The 16,606-nt window shown below is 46.0% G+C and overlaps 1 protein-coding gene across 17 annotated transcripts in view; it reads right to left on the reverse strand.

The window, feature by feature from the left end:
• The window catches only part of MYLK (myosin light chain kinase), a 274,284-nt gene that overhangs the window by 115,041 nt on the left and 142,637 nt on the right, over nucleotides 1-16,606 (reverse strand). For 12 of the 17 annotated variants that reach the window (XM_047448184.1, XM_024453532.2, NM_001321309.2 and 9 more), the window contains 7 exons: nucleotides 14,864-14,912; nucleotides 13,808-13,973; nucleotides 12,289-12,454; nucleotides 10,309-10,327; nucleotides 8,598-9,133; nucleotides 7,807-8,013; nucleotides 855-989 (listed from right to left, as the gene is read on the reverse strand). In XM_047448184.1, coding sequence (XP_047304140.1) covers nucleotides 855-989; nucleotides 7,807-8,013; nucleotides 8,598-9,133; nucleotides 10,309-10,327; nucleotides 12,289-12,454; nucleotides 13,808-13,973; nucleotides 14,864-14,912 — 1,278 coding nt within the window. The remainder of the gene's footprint in view (nucleotides 1-854; nucleotides 990-7,806; nucleotides 8,014-8,597; nucleotides 9,134-10,308; nucleotides 10,328-12,288; nucleotides 12,455-13,807; nucleotides 13,974-14,863; nucleotides 14,913-16,606) is intronic. The other 5 variants (NM_053028.4, NM_053026.4, XM_047448186.1 and 2 more) reach the window with 1 other exon arrangement.

Below are 16,606 nucleotides of genomic sequence, written 5' to 3' on the forward strand. Positions count from 1 at the left end.
AGATCCCAAACCTTCTTTTCCACCCTATCTTCTCATAGATAAAGAAGCTGGTACCCCGAGGGGTGAAGTGTCCAAGGTCACCCGACCACTCAGTGGTGGAGAAGGACAAGTGCCTGTGTCTCCTGACTCTCAGCAGGGGCTCTTTCACCCTCCCTGGGGATCCCCACAGTAGTCCCTGCTCCATCTTATCAGTTTAATGGACAGTTCTCAGTCTTCTAAAGTCAGAGTTCTCCCACACTGTTGAAATTAAATGGTCCTTTAAAAAGAAAAGGGTGATAATATACGGCAAATAATTTTTTAAAGGACCTTACTTGACAAAAAAAAGAGTTGGCGAGTCTCTATAGGACTATCAGTTTAAAAAGAATAACTGGTCTGTGAGTCCCAGAACCACCTGCCACTAAATAAAAGGTAAGATCCCTCATGCGACTTTGAGAGTGGTTCATTAGTTTATTCATTTATTTGTTCATTTATTGACTCAATAAATATTAATTGAGGGCCTACTATGAGTTTGGCCATAAGAAAAGAAATCCAACTGCTCATGCCCCTATGTGTCAGGCATCTCATTAACCACTTTATAGAAATAATCTAATTTAATTTCACAACCACCACCCTGCACATAGGCAGCATGATTCCTGCCATGTAGATGGAGAACTCAAGGCTCAGACAGGAGTAGTAACTTGCTCAGCCAGTCGGGAGCAGGATCCCAGTGCCCGTGCTCTCTTTGTGCCCTGTGCTTCCTTCTCATACCACCAGGATGTCCAAGGCATAAATGGCTCAGAGGGATAAGTGAGAATTCAGGCAGCGCCAAAGGGCCCAGGGGATGGGAGCAGAGAGCTGGGGCAGGGGGAACTCACCATTCAGCAGCCAAGTGATCCGGGGCACTGGGGTCCCCCGTACGGAGCACTGCAGCACAAAATCCTGGCCCTCAATAACAGCGCAGTCCTTCAGGACACTGGAGAAGGAGGGGGCCACCTCCATCACGGCAAGCCCTGTGAGGGAAAAGGACAGGTCAGCTCAGATCACAGCTTGCCCACTCTGGTGATGCCTGCAGTCACCCCAGCCTCCCAGGCACGCCTCACTGTCCTGGACACCTGGGTACCCTCGGCAGCCTGCCTTTGGCTTCTCTCTCTTCATGCTTAAGAAACAGGCAGCACCAGTGATGTAGGGACATGGAGCCTGAAGCAGAGTCACCCGCAGGGGCTTTTTCACAGTCACAAAACACCCTAGCCCTGGGGTGCTTAGAACCTGGGCCTGCCTTCTCTCCTCTGTGACTCAGGTGCCTCCTGCTTTGCCTTGGCTTTTGCTGCCCTCGAGCCTCTGGAGAGCTCCTTCCTGCTTGTTGGTCCTACTCTATTTTCTAGTGTCTCTTATCTTCTTTAATATGTCCCATCAGTGATTACACAATCTTGTGAGTATCTCTTTACTTGTATAAGCCACAGGCTCACAGGTGAGGACATTTCAATTTTAAATTATTACAATGATTTTTTTCCAATTCCAGAACTGAATCATAGGACTCACATGTGCTCCAGTTTTCTAAGCACAGCTTGAACCCCATTCTAGGTCAAGGGCTCAGAGCTGCCGGGGACCTGGGAATATGCAGTAATGATGCCCTTGTGTGGTTTGAATGCACATTCTGGTTGAGAACTGCTGAGCTGAACTTTCCAAAAGCCTTCTACATCAGTGAATTAGGGGACATTTTCTAGTTTGGGGACCTTAATTAAGAGCAATAGGGATAATCTCTTCTATGACAACCAGAACATGCTGTACATGTGTCAAGGTGGCTGATAGCTGAGAAAAGGTGGAACTGGATTTGGTGCTTAGAAGATATATCACTGGTGCTTTTCAAGAGAGCCTATTCAATACAGAAATGAGAAGAAATGTCATATTATACTGCAGGGGTTTATGGGCAAGAAAGCTAATAAGATGTGAGGGCCTACTATGTGCCAGGTACTTTTCCAGATGTGATTACGACAATGTTATGAGGTTGTTCTCTTGAGTTCATTTTACAGACAAGGTTACTAATTTCCCATAGTTGAACTCGATGCTGAAGCCAAGTTTTACAGCCAGCTCTGACTGTACAGCTGCACTTTCTCCTCCAGATCCTAGGGGAGGATAGGCGATGGGAGGGCAGCGACAAGACAGAGTGATGGTGTACCTGGACAGGCCTGGCACTGAGGGAGGGTCAGACAGACCACCCAGAAGGTGTGGGGAGGCACCCTCTCCATCCCTCCCCTTGGCCAGTGTTGAACTCCCTCATTAGAGAAATGCCTTTGGGAGTTATCAAAAAAGGATATAGGCTTTCATGCCAGGTCAGTTTGGGTTAGAAATATGCTCTCTTTTACAAGGCATGTGAACTTGGACAAGTCATTTAACCTTACTAAAGATCAGTATTCTTATCTAGGAAATGGGTATGATTTTCTTGTAAGATTGTTGGGATAACTAAATGAAACAATTCAGGTAGAGCATTTAGCACAAAACCCAGCATAGCACATCCTCAGTGAGTGTTAGCTGTTATTATCAAGTAGAAGCTGTGCATAGAGACTCTACTTGAGGCAAATATAGTCTAGGGATGAAAGAGAGTGGAGGGATAGAGTAGGAGCTGCAGGGGCTCTCAAGTGGAAGGAAGATTTTCTTTCCTTTTTCAGCATAGGGACAACTACAGCATGCTTGTAGGGAGAAAAAAGAGGTCTCTCAATAAGGGAAGGGGAAAGATTGAAGAAGTGGTGAGAGAGTAAATCATTGTTAGATCAGATCCTTGTGAAGATGGGAAGGGACAGAAAGAGAAGTCTTGGGAAGGGAAACAGACAGGTATTCTGTAGTATAGGAAAACAGAAAGAGAGAAGTATGTAGGAGGAGCTAAAAGAACACCCATCAGATGACCTGCTTCATGGTAAACTCATCTGCCAAGAATTAGCTAGGATGTTTAGGAACTGGAGAAGTTTTAGAAAAGCGAGTGTCTTCATCAAGAAGATAGGATGTGGAATGGCAAAGTAAAGACCTCTGAAGATCTACTCCTCCATAAAAGCAACAACAATACTGGCAAAAAGAGTCAAAAGCAACGGTTTCAGAATGCCAGAAATTAACCACAGGCTTGCAACATTCTGAGGAGCATTCAATAAAAACAAACAAACATCCAGGAGTGGTGGCTCAAGTCTTTAATCTCAGCACTTTGGTAGGCCAAGGCAGAAGGACTGCTTGAGCCAGAAGTTTGAAACCAGCCTGGGAAACATAGCAAGACTCTTGTCTCTACCAAAAAAAATAAAATTAAAATATTAGCCAGGCATGATGGCATGTGCCTGTAGTCTCACTTAGTAGGCTGAGGCAGGAGGATTGCTTGAGCCCAAGAGTTTGAGGCTGTAGCAAGCTATGATCACGCCATTGCACTCCAGTCTGGGTGACAGAGCGAGACTCTGTCTCTAAAAAGTAAAAACAATAAACAACAACAAAAAACCCCAAACAACAATACCCTGCCCCTCCACCCTCCCAAACAACAAACAACAACAACAACAACAACAACAACAATAAAACATAGCTGAATCTTGGTAAGAACAGCAAGCTATGTGCTTTTTCACTCTTGTGCCCCTTGCCCCAGCTCTGGGGTAACTCTGAAAACCGACAGTACCTATGGTACTTGTGAAAATCAGCCACTTAGCAAGGGGCAGGATGGGTTCAGAGCTCCTGAAAAACCCCATGCGTAAGAGAATGGTCACTATTTGCCCTGTCTGGCAGCTCCTTCAACGACTCCATTTTCCGGGTTGTCTTTGTTTAATCCGACTCAAAGTTTACTCTGTGTGGATGGCCCTGTCTCCAGGATGTTTGTTAAAATCAATCAGTAGCAATTGTTTAACATTATAGCTACTTGAGACAGCAATATCATTCGGAGCTAACAAGAGCCTGACCAAAAAACTTCAAAGGAAAAACTGGGGAATGAGATGTCCAGGACTTTGAAAAGCTCTGACAGATTCCTGAGAACTGAGGAGCCCAAATGGTTGTGCAGGGCTGTGAGCCTGCCCAGGAAAGATGTAAGAAGGCCCTCCTGTCTCACCTCTGGCTGACTTGGAGCTTTGGTGCAAGCAGAAAGTAAAGGCTAAAGCAGAGCTGTAAACTGCTGGCCGGAGCACTGAAGATGGGCGTAACACACACACAGAGCCCCTTGGCAAAGGCTGGGAAAAGTATTAGTTCAAGGCATTTAAGGAACTCTCCATCCAATCAATTAGGTGATCACTAAACTAACTAAGCAGGGACTTCTGTGGCCGCACATGACAAATAATCCAGCCTTTACAGAATGGGAGAGGATTATTGTAAATCATGTCTGGTAAATGACTTGTATCCAGAATACATAAAGAACTCTTGCAACTCAACAATAAAAAAGTAAATGATGCAATTAAAACATGGGTAAAGTATTTGAATAGGCATTTCTCTGAAGGAGATATACAAATGTCCAATAAGTATATGAAATGATGCTCAAAATCACTAGTCATCAGAGAAATGCAAATCAAAATTGCAGTCAGGCTGGGTGTGGCAGCTCATGCCTGTAAACCCAGCACTTTAGGAGGCTAAAGTGGGAGGACTGTTTGAGCAAGGAGTTCAAGTCCAGCCTGGGCAACATAGTAAGACCTTTTATCTACAAAAATAAACAAAATTAGCTGGGTATAGTGGCATATGCCTGTGGTCCCAGCTACCCAGGAGGCTGAGGTGGGAAGGATCACTTGAGGCTGGGATGTTGAGGCAGCAATGAGCTATTATCACGCCACTGCACTCCAGCCTGGGCAACAGAGTGAGACCCTGTTTCAAAAAAAAAAAAAAAATCATAGTCAGATGATTGTGAATGGCTATAATGAAAAAATAGAAAACAGGCTGAGTGCAGTGGCTCATGCTTATAATCCCAGTGCTTTGGGAGGTTGAAGTGGGAGGATCACTCAAGTCTAGGGGTTTGAGACCAGCCTGGGCAACATAGTGAGACCTCCATCTCTACAAATAATAAAAAAAATTAGCCGAGTGTGGTGGCAAGCACCTTTAGTCCCACCTACTCAGGAGGCGAGGCAGGAGGATTGCTTGAGCCCAGGAGTTCAAGGTTACAGTGAGCTATTATCATGCCACTGCACTCTAGCCCCATTGGCAAAGCAAGACCTCATTTTTTAAAAAAAGCAAGAAACCAAGCAAGCAAGCAAGAAAATAACAAGTATTGGTGAGAATGTGGAAAAACTGCAACACTTGTACATTGCTAGAAGAATGTAAAATGGTGAAAAACAGTTTGTTAGTTCCTCAGAGGGTTAAATCCAGAATTACCTTATGACCCAACAATATATGTGGTCTAAACATCAAAATTGAAAACAGGTATTGAAAACAACTCATACATAAATGTGCATAGCAACACTTTTCACCATAGCTAAAAAGTAGAAACAACCACATGGACCTTAAGTGATGCGTGGATAAACAAAACACTGTATGCTATACCCATACAATGCAATATGATTCAGCCACATGGATGAATGAAGTACTAACACCTGCTACAACACAGATGAACCCTGAAAACATTAAGCTAAGAGAAAGAAGCCAGACACAAAAGGCCACATATTGAATGATTCCATTTAACATCAAATGTTCAGAAGAGGAAAACCCATAGAGACAAAAAGTATATTAGTGGCTATCAGGGGTTGTGGGGATGGGAGAACAGGGAGTGACAGCTAATGGGTAGGATTTTTTTGGGAGGGGTAGTGAAAATGTTCTGAAATCAGATGATGGTGATGGCCACACAACTCTGTGAATATATTAAAAACCACTGAATTGTGTACTTTAAAAGGGTGCTTTTTATGTTATGTGAATTATATCTCAATAAAGCTGTCACACAAAACACAACAAGATAGGGAATCAACCTGAGATGTATTACCCCATGACGCGAACAGGCTAAAAATAGTCTTCTGTGAGACTTAGATGAATTCACAGCAGAAGAAGCCACAGGAGAATCTAGGCCCTCTGGATACGCCATTAATCTGTGGTGGACCTGACACCATATTTCTGTCCCCTGCGCAGGGATAGAGACCTGGCCTGGATGATGAGGCTTGATCTCCTAGACCTGTGAACTCTGCCTACCAGCACTCCCACCTGCAAATGGCATGGATAATATTTCTTGTAAAGGAATTCACGAGGATAGTAAAAATCCCAGTTAAACAACAGTTAAAATCCCAGTGAATCAACAGTATACAGTGAAAAGTAAGATGCCCCATTCCTTCCTGTGAACCCCTAGTTTCCCCTTCCTAGAGGGACTTTTGTGCTCTTCCAGAAATGATTTGTGCACACACAGGCATCTTTTGCATGTGTGTACACAGATCTTTTCTTCCATTTACACATGAGCCTGTACTTTGCTCCTCTCCCTTCCTAGTGCATCTTGAACATGTTTTAGCATCAGTCTACAGGATGTTGTCTGGCATTCTACTATATGGATACATCACTAACTCTTTTTTTCTTTTGGAAATGTGCATTTTGAAAATTTTCAAACACACACAAAAGTAGACAAAGCAGTGTAGTGAATTCCTATGTACCCATCTCTCAACTTTCATTTATATCAATATTATTTCATTGATATCCCTGCCAGTGCTCCCCAAACATGAATTATTTCTAAGTCAAATATAAAAAGCCATATCATTTCACCAGTAAATAACTCAGGATATATCTCTCAAACAGATGAACTTATAAAAAAAAAAGTAACAAGACCACCATCACATCTTAAAACACCACGAATTCCTTTATATTAAATCTTATCAGTGTCCAAATTCTCTTGATGTTCCCATAAAAACTTTTTAAAGATTATCTCAGTCAGGATTGGCAGAAGATTATCAAAAATTATTGTAATTGTTGATGTTACTATATACCTTCTAATATAAGTTTTCTATAGGTTGTCTTTTTTTTTTTTTTTTTGCTTGCAATTTGTATGTGGAAAAAAAATGGGTGAAAGTTATTTGTTCCACAGTTTCCAGCAGCCTGCAATTTGCAGATTCTACTCTTGTGGTATTTGTTAATGCATTTCTCAAGGGTATGGCATGGGCCTGGGGCTTACATATGCATTTAGAGTAAGGGGGAAATTTTATAGAGATAGACAGGTACAAGAATATTTATCATAGGTATGTTATAATAGTGAAAAATGGAAACAATTTAATTATTCAACAAATAACAGCATACCTAAATTAGATACAGCCATTTCATGCAATATTATATGGCTACTAAAAGTCATGCTTTCCAAGAATTGTATAAAAAGATGTTAATATCACATGAGCAAATTAGGATAGAAAGCAGTATACAAATACCACAATGGTAAGTTTGTATAAAAAACATTAAAATATAATTTATTTCTGAGTCATAAGGTTATATATTGTTTAAATTCCCCACAATGAACATGCATTACTTTTATAAACAGACAGTACAATAAACATAAAAGATGTGGGATCCCACATCATCTCACATTACTCTAAACCTGTATATTTAATGAACACTCAGTTCTCTGTGGTTACAAACGTGAGTCACGGCACTATTCAAACAGCTGAGGGACCTAGGAAAGGTAGCTGTCAGTTGGGCTGGGTGTGGGGCCATGCATGTTTATTTTGAGGTGATTCTGATGTGAACTCCTGATTATGAATCACTGGCCTAGAGCAACACACTTGGCCTTGGCATGTGATTGGGGGTGACATTTCTGTCGGGCTGTGCACCAAGGCAGGGGGCTATAGGAGATGAACCATCTGCAGAAGGTGAAGCACCCCATGAATGGTTGTCCCACAGAGAATGCGGGGTGACCTGGAGAAGTGTACTCACTTTCCACTTGGAGGGTCCAGCTACAGGACAGCTGGCCTTGGGCGTTGGAAGCAGTGCAGCTGTATGTCCCACTGTCCCTGGTCCGGGCTTTCAGCAGGCAGAGGTAATGGGAGCCAGCATCTTCATAAACCTCAATGCTGCCTTCCTGTCTCCTCACGGGGGTGCCTTCCAGGAACCAGGCCACTTCAGGCTTTGGAATCCCGGAAACTACAGGGCCAGGTAAAGAACGTGAGCTCCCTATGCCCTGGAGAGCACCCTGTGATTGTGAGGTAGGTGGGGAAGGTGTGAGCTGGAGGAAAGGGCTCAGTTTGGTGTGGAGCTGCCCTCCCACCTCTGAGTCTGCTTCCTCACCCTCAACCACACTCCACAAGACGAAACCTCTTGAGAGAGTCAGGGGCCTTGAGGAGGATGAATACAGCGTGATGGGCAAGGTCTCCAGGTTGGCCAAAGCCAGGCAAGGGGAAGAAAGGGCGGAGGAGACCATGAGGTTTGCTTTTCGATGTTGGCGATAATGAGGGTGTTTCTTCTAGGGTGGTAAGAACTAGGGCCAGGGCCAGTACTCTATCCAAGAGCAAACAACAGGCTACTGTTAGGGGTCTCTCCAGAATAAAGGGCATTTCTACAATGAGTCACTCCTAAGGGGAAGGCCCTTGTAAGGTGGTTTTCTAGGGGAGCTAGTCCAAGAAGATGAGTGGATATAGGTGATGCAGACTAGCTGGGTGCTGAAGGAAGGGAGTGGCCACCAAGGGGCTACATTTTGGCAATCGGTGACCCTAATTACCTCTACTCACCTTCACATCTGAACTTGACAGTTTGATTTTCCTTGACCTCCTGGCTTTGGGGCTTGCTCTCAAATTTGGGGAATGCTGAATCCCTCTGGCCCTCCATGGGGATTCTCCTGTTAGCAGCCTTGCTCACAACATCTTGGCTCCCCAGGCCAGGCTGCCTGGTGGGGAAGGTGGCTGGACGGGGAGGAGCTGGCCTCTTCCTCTCTTCTCCAGAAGGTGATAGGACCCCCAGGCCTGGTGCTCTTGGTTCCGGCTGAACTCTTGCGGCCTGCAGGGTGATGGAGCTGGAAGTCTTCTGAAGGACCGGGGTCTGCGGGGCCGTTCTGGGCGAGTCCTTGCATGACTCCAGCTTGGACTCCCTTGGGGGCTGAGGCTGGCTGTTTGCAGCCCAGGGTGGGGAGCCACCTCTCTGGGGGCTGGAGCAGTTCTTGCTTTTGGCTGCAGCCTCCAGACTGTCCAGCTTCGACTCCTTTGAGATTACATTGGTCACCTCTTTCCTGACATCTGAATTGGTGGCTTTTGTTTCTCTCACAAATGACCTGTGTGGTGGTGAGGGTGGGGGTAGGGTGGGTGAGGAGAGGGGAGAATAGAATGATCATCTGGTTACTCACAAATATTACTCATCACAAGCACGGATTCCAGGGATCACAAAAGCCCACAAGTTAAGGGCAAGTAAGAGCATCTTTCTCTGCAGTTTGCCCAGTTTCCCAAGCCACAGCACAAGCAGCCATTCCCGACACTTGCCTGTCCCACAACCCTGCCCAGAGCCCTGCTTTCCCTACAGTTCCCTTCTCTACTAGTGCCTCCGTAGTTCAACCTCTGCCACCGGTGTCCCGTGTCCACTCTGCCCTCTCTAATCTATTTTCTATACAGCGACCATAGTCGATCTTTTAAAAACATTAATCAAATTATGTCATTTCAAGCCCAAGGATTTTCCAACAGCTTTTCCACTACTTTAAGAATGAAACTGAGCCCCACAAGAGGGCCCACAGGAATGCCAGCTCCTGATCGTACAGACATTGGCCTGCCATTCACCAGGCTGCGGCCACACTGGCGTCCTTCTGGGTCCCCATGGGCCCATCTCTTGGTTCACAGCTTGTACATGCTATCCCTGCTGTTTGGAGCACACTCCCTGAGCTTTTCTTCACCAGCTAACATTCCTTTGCACAGGTCTGAGCTCAAATACCAAGTTCCCGAAATGGCTTCCCTGCCCCTCTATTCTAATCAGTGCCTTCCTGTTGTCCTTCCTCACAGACGCATCCCAGTTGGTAATGTGCGTTCGTGTGGTTTAAGCCCTCCTCTACGCCCACCCCTGCACATCCAGCATCTAGCGCCGAGCCTCACACACAGGAAAGAGGCTCCTGCTGGGTCTGGGCTGGATGAGTGAACAGATTCCGCCCTGGAATGAGGAAGGCGGCCTTCTCAGAGCAGTGTTCTTCCTCAGGATGCTAACCAGAGAAGAGACTGTGTAGATACTGTGAAAGGTGGCAACACTGAGTTTTCCAGTCTCAATACTGACAGCAACCTGAGATAGAACCCGTGTGTCATATTACAATAGGAGAACAAGACAAAACACCCAAAATAAAACAACATCCTCCAAATGGCCAATTCTTCTGCCCCATAAGATGATTCAGAAATTCAGGGCATTTCTCGGTAACATCCTTGCAGGGCATTTCAAGAGGGAAAACGTAAAAGTCACAAAGCCTAGACATACCTATTGGCACTGTCCAAACCTGGAAAAAGGGGGAAGGGTGGAAAGACTGTTAGTAGAATGCTGTATACACCAAAATTTCCCTCCCCAGGCACTTCCTCATCACCGTGGTCCCACCCTGCTGGCTCCTTCCAGCTTCCCTGGTGCTGAACGTCTTTGGCCTTTGAACTCCCCCCAGCCCTAGAGTACATTGTCAAAGCTTCAGGTTCTGTCCTTTGGGCTTCTTAATAGTGGCTGGTGCTACCATACCCTGAGGGCATGGAATCTGTTTCTGTTCACTAAACAGAAGGAAAAAAAACCAATCCAGGGACAAACAAACATCTACTGAAAATTCCAAACCCAAATGCTGTAACTTACCAGTGTACAGAAAAGCATACTTTTAATGTTATCCAGTTCTTCAAAGAAAAAACATAAAATACATATTTTTCCTGCTATATTCTTTCTCAAATTTTATCATGGTAAACTTAAAAATATACAATAGTAGAAAGAGATAACAAACCCTGAAAGCCATCACCACGATTAAGGAGATACCACATTTTGCCAGTCTTATATATCCATTTTTGTTTTCTTTCGTTTATTTGTTTTTGAGTATTTTAAAACAAATATCAGGCAACATATTTTGTCATGAAGTCCATCAGGAGGGAATAGTATTTAACTGAATGTCAGGGCAGGCACACATTGCTCTGGGTGTCTGGTGGCATCTCCTTATTCAGCAGTGAGCCACCAAGTCAGGTCCTCCGGTCAGGACCAGGATTTCTTGTTTTAGTGATGTCAAGTGAAATAGAGAATACCAGCATGCACTGTACACAGTACGGTCAGGATGGTTTCCTGAAACTTGTTTACCTATGTATACATGTTCTGGGTTGCAATGTACTGTGAAATATATTTCTTTCTGTAGATTGTGAAAAATACCCAGGCCAAAAAAAGTAACAAGAGCAAAGATGAATCGTTTCTAAGAAGAAGGAGATGCAGAACAGAAAAATCAGAAGAAAAGAGAGGGACAAAGAAGGAGGAAGGACTGAAAGCCACTTCCCTTCCTGACCCCCGAGTTCCTGCTCCAGTAAAGTGACATGCAGCCCCTTCCCCATCCCTGCACTCCCTCCTCAGCCCGGACTTGAGGAACCAAAGAACTGTAAGGAGGAGACGTGTTCAACAAGACTTACAAGGAAGAACTGACAGGGCTGACGACTCAAGGAGAAAGAGGCAGGGGTCAAAAGGATGCTGGAAAGTCCAGTCTGGGTGTGAAGGAACATGGGAACCCTGGTAGAGGGGGTCAAGTCGAAGGATCGCCTGACTTGAAAGACAGAGTAAATTATCAGTAAATTCTGGGCAGGTTAAATTTGGGGTGATGGCAAGACGTTAGCAACATTCATTCTTCCAGTTGGCAACCACAGATACAAAAGGGAGTCCGGGTGAGAAGAAAGGACTGAAGACATGGTGGGGGAGACTATGGGAACACAAGGGAAGGTGGCAGCCAAGCACAGGGCATCTTCCCTCGTGGCCAGGTCTGCGCTGCCCTGTTCACCCTTTCTTCTTGTCAAAGACCTGCCCCTTGTGGCCGGGCGTGGTGGCTCACACCTGTAATCCCAGCACTTTGGGAGGCCAAGGCAGGCAGATCACTTGAGGTCAGCCTGGCCAACATGGTAAAACCCTGTCTCTACAAAAAATACAAAAATCAGCCGGGCGTGGTGGTGTGTGCCTGTAGTCCCAGCCACTCAGGAGGCTGAGGCAGGAGAATCGCTTGAACCTGGGTGGCGGAGGTTGCAGTGAGCTGAGGTCATGTCACTGCACTCCAGCATGGGCGACAGAGCAAGACTCTGTCTGAAGAGAAAAAAAAAAAAAAGACCTGCCCCTGGGGAGTGCCTGGGTGTGTGAGTGGGCCAGGTGTATACACACACAGGTGCGCAGTGAACAAGCAGCTCCTCTAGGAGGGTGCGGCACCAGGCAGGGATCGTTCTGCACTAGCCGTCCACTGGTCGATACCTTGGATGGAAAGTTCAGCTGACATCGAGGCCTTCCCCGACCCGTTCACCACCAGGCACGTGTACACTCCCACGTCATCTTGGTTGACTCCATGGATTTCCAGAACCTGCATGCCGTTCTTCTCAGACACAGACACACGGGCACTCGGCTGCAGTGGAACATTTCCCTGTGGATGGCAATGGGGTAACTTGGTCATACAAATCTGCTCACCTTCTGGCTGTGTCCTCCTGCCTCCTGCCAATCCTAGTGGGATAGACTCCAGGGCCTGGGCAGCAGCGTCCTCTGCTGTGGGCCCTGTCAATGTGCTCAGAGAGCCAACTTTAAACAGTTCAGGGGCCCTGACTTGAGGTCTGTGGATGTGGTGTGGTGCTCTGTCCTGCTTAGAGCAGTTGCCTGAAAACTGTTTCAAAGGAGCCTGAGTTTGAGGTAGGAAATCCCATATTCCTCACTTCAGTTTTTCCTTACCTCCCCATTCCTTTTATTCTTTTCCTAGGGGAGTTCAAGAGAATTAGGAAGCAGGTAAAAGGTGTCAATACCCACTTTTACCCAGGCATTCCAACTCTGAAAAACCTATTCCCCTGGCCATGACTCTACCTGTTCCCCTAGGATCCTCACTGCCCTGTTTAACAGCCATCCCCAACCCCATGCCACTGCCTCCCTGCCCGCCCACCTCTCCCCCTTAAGCTTCACTTCCCCCAGCCCTGAATGATTTATAAATCCCTTCTACATGGAGGCTCCTGACAATATTTTGAGGTAGGTGGTATTATTTCTATCTCACCGATAAGGAAACCAGGATTCCAAGAAGTCAAATGACTTATCCAGCTTCACAGGCTTTATAAACCAGGGAGCTGTGGCTTAACACCTAGAACCCTAACTTCACAGTCCACTCTTGAGATTGTCAGGCTTGTCTTGACTCAGAAGTTTTCTGCTATTTTGTGAGTGTGAGAATTGTCAGAACACTGTGGTCTGAGTAACAGAGGGAGAGTTGTAATAGGGACAGGAACATGCATCCCTAACAAACATACAGAGAACCCCTGAGAACCGCCTGAAACAGGAGGAACAGAATGGAAAGACTCCTACTAGTTGAAGGGTCTAACCCTGAATTTTCAGGGTCCCTAGGGCTATGATATGGTTTGGCTGTGTCCCCACCCAAATCTCATCTTGAAATGTAGCTCCCATAATTCCCACGTGTTGTGGGAGGGACCCAGTGGGAGGTAACTGAATCATAGGGTGGGTTTTCTCATGCTATTCTCATGACAGTGAATAAGTCTCATGTGATCTGATGGTTTTATAAAGAGGAGTTCCCCTGCACATGCTCTCTTGCCTGCCGCCATATAAGGCATGACTTGGCTCCTCATTCACCTTCTGTCATGATTGTGAGGCCTCCCCAGCCATGTGGAACGGTGAGTCCATTAAACCTCTTTCCTTCATAAATTACCCAGTCTCGGGTATGTCTATTAGCAGCATGAGAACAGACTAATACAGGCTGGATCAGGGTCAGGGCAGACAGAAACCTCACCTTGAGCCAGGTGACCTGCGGTTGGGGCCGGCCAGTGATCTTGCAGGAGAATCGTCCCATCTGTCCTTCTTTGACCACAACTCGGCCCAGCTTGGTAGCAAACTTTGGTGGGCACTCCCCCCAGATGCTAGGACGGGTCTCCACTGCTGGAGCTGAAAATCTATCCCTGTAAGGAAATTGGCAGAGAATCCAGTCCCAGACAAGGCAGCAATTCAACCATCCTCTCTCCACCTCACTCAAAGGCACTAAGTTAAGGTCAGAAGCCATCAAAGTGTAGCCTTCCCAATTTTATGCCTCAGAAACTTTCTCATGCTCTCTCTAGAAAAATGTGTGGCACCAAAACCTATTTCCTCTACCTCTTGGGCATGCAGCTAGACTTCATTTACTAGCCTTCCTTGCAGTTAGGCATGCCTGAATTCCACTGAGCCCTGGCTGAAAGCCTGGGTTTTAGCCAGGAGACCATGAGCAGAAGAGCTGTATGCCACTTCCAGGGCCGACTCATAAGAACCTCCTGTGAGGCTCTGCAGTCTCTCGTCCACTCTGCTGGTGAGATGCAGAAGGCCCAGTGGGGGCTCAAGGGCCTAGGAGATGAAACTATAAAATGGAAGAAGCCTGGGCTCCTGGAAGATAATGTGGAAGGCTCTCCCCATGTTCCAGGATATCTGAACTGAACTTTCCCTGAGTAAGAAACAAACTTTCCCTGGGTTGAGCCACTGTGATTTGAGGCTTGTCTGTTACAGCAGCTACTGTTACCCGCCTCTTCTAGGCTTGCTTATTTCAATCTTCTGACTATTGCCTTGATTGTTAGAGTCCACTGCAGACTCTGGCCACCTCTCCCACTTCCTTACATTTAGCAGCTGGGCCAGTCAAAGGAGCCAATCACAGAGGCAGCCAGGTCAGGAGGTGCTGTGTAAATGACACATCTCATTGTACTAGGCTCCCGCCCTTTGGTTATTATAACCTAGGAGAGCCAAGACTTACTCCCCAGACCTATCCTGCTCAAGTCAGCAGGAAAGCAATCCAACCCTTACTCTGTCTTGAACATCCAGGACTTACCCTAAGGTTTTGGAAACAACAGGCTGACCAAGCTGCTTCGCAAAACTTCCTGCAAGAAAAAGAGTTGATGAGTCAGGTCTGAGCCACCAACTTGGAGCAATGAAAGTAAAAAGATTCAACAGCAGGGGTGGGTGGGATAGTGATGGTGATCATTAATCTTGACTGAGCATGGGCTGTGTCACTATGGATACTATGGTAGGTGTTTACATACATTATCATGTGAATTTCTTGCAATAATTTTATGAAGCTGATACTACATTATCCTATTTTTTAAACAGATGAGAGAAATAAGATTCAGAGAAGTTAAGTCATCCATACAAGGTCACAAAGTCAGTAACAGTGCAGAAATTCACCCAGGTCTGCCAGATTCTAAAACTCTCAACCACCCTGCTGAGTTGTTAGGGTAGTACGCTCTACCTTCCATTTTGGGGATTATTTGGGGGTGATTCAGGACCTCTCCAGAACATTTTCTCAGTTAAAGGGAGGGAGGGAAAGGCCCATGCCTATCTCTTACCACACCTACTCTTGACTGACACAATCAACACTCCATTCTTCCACTTAAGGCCTGGCAAGTAGCAGCAAGCTGAAAGAGAGCAGGACAGGTCACTGCAGATGAGCTACAGCGGAGCCAGCAGCTCCTGCAGAATCTGCAGTGCTGCCACACTGAACACTGCCAGTCCTGGGCAAGGTGCTGCTATGCTGGACACTGCCAGTCCTGGGCAAGGCGCTGCTATGCTGGACACTGCCAGTCCTGGGCAAGGCGCTGCTATGCTAGACACTGCCAGTCCTGGGCAAGGCGCTGCTATGCTGGGCACTGCCAGTCGGTCCTAGGTGAGATGATGAGGCCATAGTAGGCGCTATCCTACTGGGCGCTGCTGATCCTGGGTGAGCTGTTGCCGTGCTAGGCAGGAGGCCATTAAATAGCAAAGCCAGCAAGGCAGCTGGGGTTAGCTCCTTTCATCCAGCTCCTGCAGCTGGGAGGGACAATTCACAATGTCACCATGAAATAACTCTAAAGTAGTGGGAGTTTTATTTTGAGGGGTGGGGTGGGAGGAAGAGGTCTTTTTTGAGATGATGATCACCCTGAAAGTTGTTCTTCTTTTGCCGCAAGCTGGGGATGTTTATAAAACCCTATCCCAGGGAGGGTAGAGTCATCCTCTGATATCAGCAGACAGTTGCTGTGGGGAATTTGCAGGGAGTTTACTGCAAAAGAGTAAACTTCCTTAACTTTGACTCTGATCACATTTATATGACTGTGTAAGAACATAGGTGTGGAGGAGAAAAATCATGGCTATTTTCATCAGCCACACCCGGTTTAAGATTCCACCAGAACTTTAGTGAAAAGGGATTAATAACAAACACTGGCATCACATTTAAGCTGTGGCTCCATATAATTGGTGATTACGATACAGGCATTTCTGTTTAACATTACTTAGTGAGCTGTGTCTAGTTTTCATTCCTGAAAGTGTTTTGGTTTTTGTCATTCCATTCTCTATTCAAAAGTAAAAGAACTTCTAAATTGATAAAAGGAGAGACTTGTTTTGAAAGGACCCAACTGACAGTCAAGATGCTGGGCCCTCAGATGCTGCTGGAGGCAGAGCCAACTGTCCAGTCCTCCTGGAAATACTTGAGTGAGGAAAAATCATAAGCTTTAAAGATGCTCTGCTCTTGGGACAGCACCTCCGTTTCTGTGACTCCATTCAAAGGAAACGACGCTAAAGTTAGAAGAGAAAGTTTACACAG

Source organism: Homo sapiens, chromosome 3, assembly GCF_000001405.40.
Source record: "Homo sapiens chromosome 3, GRCh38.p14 Primary Assembly".
NCBI classification, from domain to species: domain Eukaryota; kingdom Metazoa; phylum Chordata; class Mammalia; order Primates; family Hominidae; genus Homo; species Homo sapiens.